Here is a 6000-nt window from a genome sequence, read left to right as displayed (position 1 = left end):
CCCACATAATTGAGGAACAGAAGGCAGAGATGAGAGTGAAAGAGAGCAGGACTTGGGAGACAAGCAAAGGCTGGCCCTGCAGGGACTGGCAGCGGGAGGGGGCGGGGGCAGCGATCAGGACTGGGAGTTAATCTAGGGCAGCAGCTGGCCTTTGAAGGGTTCTAAACAGGTAGTGGTCAAAATCCTACTTGGTTGGACTTTTTTGGATTCTCACACCTGACTTAGATATGAACAGAACCATCCTCTGGAAAAATGCGTCCTGTTACTATCTCTCTAGCCATGAGGAACACCACCAGTTTTGCCACATTCCTGGTTTCGAGTGTCACTAGACAGGCTGCCACCCAGGTATGACTGCATTTGCCTCTCCTGACTGCCTATGTGCTGGCGGCCAGGACTATCCCTTACTCCCATCCGCCAGCCCCAGTCTTCCTCTCTCAGCTCAGGTAGCCATGGTCTCAGCTAAGGGAGGGAAATTCTAGTGGGATTTACTCTCATCAAATCTGCAGAAAGTTGAATGACTCCAGGAAAAGTGGTGCTCTGCTGGAAGGACTCCTTACTCTCCTCTCAAGACAATGCAGCTAATGAATGAGAGATTGGCATGAAGAGGAGCACAGAGCTGAAATCAGGCTGGCTTTTTCCCCCCTTAAAAATGCACGAATAAGAAGTTAGCAAGGCTTTAATGCAATTACATGCAACACCTAATTTGGAGCAATTAGGTGTAAGGCAATAGCTCTTTGTGTTCAATTGTGAAGTTGTGGGAGCACGTGTCCCACAGCGGTCTTGAGATTCATTTCTCCCTCTTAGAGTCCTGTGTCAAAACTTCAGGAGCACCTTGATTTTCTGCATCTGCCTTCTCAACCTGAGTTGTTTTAATTAACTCTTTTCTGGATATTTCTAGATTACTTACTTTGGTCTAAGCTTTGCAGACAAGAAAAAAAGAAAAGAAAAGAAAAAGAAAAAGAAAAAGGGCCAATGAGAGTGGGAGGTAGGGCCAGACTGTGAGGGAGTGCACCTTCACTAGTTTGGGAGGACAGTCAAGGTCGACTGTCCCTGTTTGCAGCATCTCCCTGTTTGCAGCATCAACATCTTGGGCTGCAGCTCCTCCAGGGCTGGCTGTGCTCCTTGGGCTGAAGTAGACGGGAGAGGTTGGAGGTGTGGCTGTGGAGCAGTCCGCTGGTGCGCTCCTGCTGGTTTAAATACTGGGGAGTGTAAACCTGGGCCATGCCGTGGAAGAAACGCAAGACTTGGAGATAGAGAAGTGTACTTGGACCTCTGTTCAGCCACATTCCAGCTGTGGGATTTGGGGCAAAACAATGCAGTTTTCTCTGTTCTTATCTGTAGAACGAGAAGACTGATCCAGATAACTTCGTTGGCAGTGGGGGGGTGAGGTGGGTTCCTATCCAGTAGAAAGCCACCTGCCCAGGATGTGTGAAGGGTCTTTAAGCTGATCTGGGCCTGCCCTCCGTTTATGTGTAAGTCTCTAACCTCTTTAGACGACCTGAAAGTCTGAATTTCCCTTCTTTAGAAGCTCTGGCTTGAGGCGTTAAATGTTCTCATTAAGATGCAAATACATTCTCCACACAGCTGCCCCAGTTGTTTCCCTCATGTTGTCATTTATTTCCTTTCTCTCCTTAGAAAATTTGACAATGAAGCCCAAATCCCCTCATCTGCATTTGAGACAATGTCTGTCAAGACTCCAGCCTTGCTTGACTTTCTCTACCACAATCCTCGTGGGCAATGCGGGGTGTGGTCAGGAAGGCAGACTGCCTGCAGGGGTCTCTGCTCCTCACTTTAATAAACATCCAAGCTTGGGAAAGTTGTTAGATCTTTGGGGCCTTCAGTTTCCCACTCTGTAAAGTGCGAACAATGAAGGTACCTGTCTCGTTATTATAGGGATTGCATGTTTTAATTAATGTAAAGCACTTAGCCCTGTGCTTGGAACAAGGTGAACCTTCATTAAAGGTTGGCTGCTTTCCTTGTGGCAAACCAAAGTCTTTCCCCCAGCAAACCTCCTTCCTCCCCAGTCTGTATCTTGCTCAGTCCTTTCCCTCAGGAGAGCAAGTTCTTACCTCACTTTTCTTCCTCCTGAATGCTTCTTCAAGGTCTTGTTCAAATGTCACTATATCCATGAAGGCTCTCTTGAAACTTTTGGAGAATTAATTGCTCCTATTCCCTCTTGGCCTTTTCCTTGTGCCTCTCTCGAGAACATGTTTTATTCTGTTTTATCCATCAAGGATGTACGTGTATGCCTCCTTCACTTACCCGCCCCCGCCCCGCTCAGTGCACCCACCCTCAGTCCCAGCCACTAGTCTGTGAGCTCGAAGAGGGCAGAGAGCACAGCACCATTACTTTCTGAATAATTCAATCAGTTCAATAAACATTTGATGAATGAGCAAATGAATGAATAAATGCATGAGTGGAAGGTTATCCAAATAGCGTGTTCTGTCATTATTACAGATTGATTCTGTCAGAGAACATGGCTTCAGGAAACTGAGATTTCAATGTGGTTGGTGCTAATGGCAGGCTAAGGTCTGAGGTTTGAGATGCAGCTATGGAGGGACAGGTCTATGTGGGGACAAGATGAGGTAAAGTGTTCCCTAAACAAGTACCTTTTCCTTGTCAACCCCTTTTAAAAAAGCTCTGTGGTTTTGGTTTGAGTTGATGGTGACAAGTAATTACATGAGTAATGATAAGCACAAAATGAGGCAAATCTGAATGTAGCAAGGCCCATACCCATCTTACTGGATTTTGCACCTATAGTTCAAACTTCCATCAGTCATGGTGGTTCTTTTTTCTTTCTTTCTTTCTTTCTTTCTTTCTTTCTTTCTTTCTTTCTTTCTTTCTTTCTTTCTTTCTTCCTTCCTTCCTTTCTTTTTTTTTTTTTTGACGGAGTCTAGCTCTGTCACCAGGTTGGAGTGTAGTGGCATGATCTCAGCTCATTGCAACCTCCACGTCCTGGGTTCAAGTGATTCTCCTGCCTAAGCCTCCCAAGTAGCTGGGATTACAGGCACGCGCTGCCATGCCCAGCTAATTTTTGTATTTTTAGTAGAGACAGGGTTTCACCATATTGGCCAGGATGATCTCGATCTCCCGACCTCGTGATCCGCCCACCTTGGCCTCACAAAGTGCTGGGATTACAAGCGTGAGCCACTGGGCCCGGCCAGTCATGCTGGTTCTTGAAGGAGATAATTGTTTCCATGGAAGATTCGTGGTGCTACGGTAGGAGGCTGGAAGGGAGAACACATTTACCATGCACTCTATGTAAGACCCAACTATACAGAATTGGTTTCAGCAATACCCAGTTGGATTTAGTTTTGTTCAGTGGGGATGCCACTTATTTAAAAGATGATTGCCAAATTCTCAAGTTTAAATTTATTTCACTCAACTAATCATGGTTTTGAGTAGAATAAAAGAGTGAGACTATGAGGGGAAGCCGTAATCTTAATACCGATGAGGGGTTGAGATTTCCTGTATCTGTGTAGCACCGCTAACCTGGTGCCTGGCTCTCCTTTATAGCTAGCCCCAGGGTAGCAAAGAGAAGGCAGCAGTAGAGGAAGCTTTTTGAGGGCCTCTTGGGAAGCCTTCCCATTTCCATGGCTCCTGGGAAATGGTGATCAGTGATATAACCAATGGGTACTCTTGACAGTTTCTCTTTTGTATCTGTTTTTCTTATGCTCCACCCCAGTAGTTTTTGTTGCCTTCTTAGTGGTCCCTTTAAGCAAAACTGAGAGTGTCATCCCAAGTCTCCAGAAACTCAACAAAGGACCTCTGTCCCCAGTTTCCTGATTTCAAACCCAGTCACTGCTCTATGTTCTACTCATCACTGAATCCTCCTTTTCAGAGTGATCATTTAAATGCTTCTCTCTTACTAGATCTTGGGAACTGGGGACAACAGGACCAGGCCTGGTAGTCAATGCAGGATACCAGGAGGCCCAGCGCCCACCCCTAACCCTCTGACTGCCTAGGAATGGGGATTAGTCTACTTATTTTTTCCTCTCCTTTGATCAAGGGTTAGTTGGTATAGAAAAAAGAATGTTGCAATCTCAAAATGTGCTAGGCCCTTATTTATTAAAGTATCCTATTTAACAGCCACCACCCCCCAACATCCTTATGAGGGTAGAAACTATTATTAAGTGGTGTCACCAGAAATCAAATCTAGATCATCTGACCACAGGTCACTTGCATCTATTCATGACCCTCTCTAAGCTTCAGTTTCCTCATCAACAGAATGGTAATGATATTAGCTTGAACCACATGAACTTGCTATATTCGATCATTTTCTAAATCTAAAAATGGCAAGTTAACATAGTTCAACATGTAATATTCCCAATAGGTTGAGTGTAAAGATATAGTAATTGTAAACGGTGTGACATATAGTCAACTTAATAAACATTAGCTATTCTCATGATCACATACCCTTCGTTTTGCCACTTTATCTTTCCACATCCAAGAAATCCTGAAAAGTCATTAGCTGAGTGTCCTATTGTGACTACTTGATGAGAGCTATGAGAACTTAATTCCAAAGCCCCAAGATCAGGAATATCCTAAAAACATAGAATGTCTTGGCCTCTGGCAAGTATCTGTTTGGTCCCTTTCTCTCTCTCTCTCTCTGTCTTAAAAAAAAGAAGACCCCTTCTTTGACTTGATTTGTTATCTTTGGGTGCAAGAGACATAGTAAACCCCTGGAGCATGTAGTGTCTTCTAGAGCAGCACAGGTGTGGGGACAGGCTCCAGACACAGAGATAAGGCTCTAAAACACCCACATACCCTGTGGGTCACGTTCAGGGTCCGGGAGCAGCCTGCTCTTCTCTTCGGACAACTGAAGAAAGCTCTGCGTAAAGCTGCAGACTTGCTGAGAGATTGAGATGAAGCAAATGCTTCTATTCTTTCTTTGTTTTTCTTTGAGACAGGATCTCGCTCCATTGCCCAGGCTGCAGGCTGGAGTGCAGTGCTGTGAACATGGCTCACTGCAGCCTCAATCTTCTGGGTTCAAGCGATCCTCCTGCCTCAGCCTCCTGAGTAGCAGAGACTAGAGGTGCATGCTGCCATGTCTGGTTAATTTTTATTATTATTAATTTTTGTAGAGATGGGGTCTCTACATGATGCCCAGGCTGGTTTTGAACTCCTCAGCTCAAGGAATCTTCTTGCCTCGGTCTCCAAAAGTGCTGGAATTACAGGCATGAGCCACCACACTCAGCTGCTTCCAATCTTTTCCTGGCCAGCTTCCATCCATTTTAGACACTCAAGTTCAAAGGTTCCCTGCTATCTAAAATCTCCAGCCCTCCTATGCAACACTAATCATGGTCTCTCTCCAGCCACTGGTCCCTTGTCTTCCCATTTATCACAGCCTGCTATGATGTGTGATATGGTTTAGATGTTTGTCCCCTCCAAATCTCATGTTGTGGTGTAATCCCCAATGTTGGAAGTGAGGCCAGGAGGACTGGATCATAGAGATGGATCCCTTATGAATGGTTTAGTACCAGCCCCTTGGTAATAAGTGAGTTCTCCCTCAGTTCATGTGAGACCCGGTTATTTAAAAGTCTGCCCACACAAACCTGCTGCCACTCCTGCCGTGTGACATGCCTGCTCTTATTTCACCTTCCACTGGGACTGTAAGCTTCCTGAGGTCCTCACCAGAAGCTAAGCAGATGTTGGTGCCATGCTTGCACAGCCTGCAGAAGCGGGAGACAATTAAACCTCTTTTCTTTATAAATTACACAGTCTCAGGTCTTCCTTTATAGTAATGCAAAACAGCCTATGCAATGGGTATAGATATTTTCCTCACTAGGCTCCACATGAACAGCCCTTGAATTTTATTTGCTTTGTGTTGTCAGTGCCTGATGCAAGTCTTGGTGAAAATAAAAGGTCAATAAATATGTCATAATGATAATAGCACTATATTTATCGAATGCTTATTGTTCTGATTGAAGTCACACAAAACCCTATGAGGTAACTGCTATTATGATTTCCATTTTATAGAGGAGAGAGAGCAGAAGAACA

The 6000-nt window shown here is 44.9% G+C and overlaps 1 annotated feature.

Moving 5' to 3' along the window:
• Positions 1265-1920: an enhancer, noted in NCBI's record as "OCT4-NANOG-H3K4me1 hESC enhancer chr2:224482816-224483471 (GRCh37/hg19 assembly coordinates)". NCBI's record gives its function as "activates a minimal SCP1, AML or CMV promoter by ChIP-STARR-seq in naive and primed H9 embryonic stem cells {active_cell/tissue: H9 hESC(naive and primed)}" and the evidence as "EXISTENCE:reporter gene assay evidence [ECO:0000049][PMID:30033119]".

Source organism: Homo sapiens, chromosome 2 (assembly GCF_000001405.40).
Source record: "Homo sapiens chromosome 2, GRCh38.p14 Primary Assembly".
Taxonomy (NCBI): Eukaryota; Metazoa; Chordata; class Mammalia; order Primates; family Hominidae; genus Homo; species Homo sapiens.
This window is presented reverse-complemented; position numbering and strand designations above follow the sequence as displayed.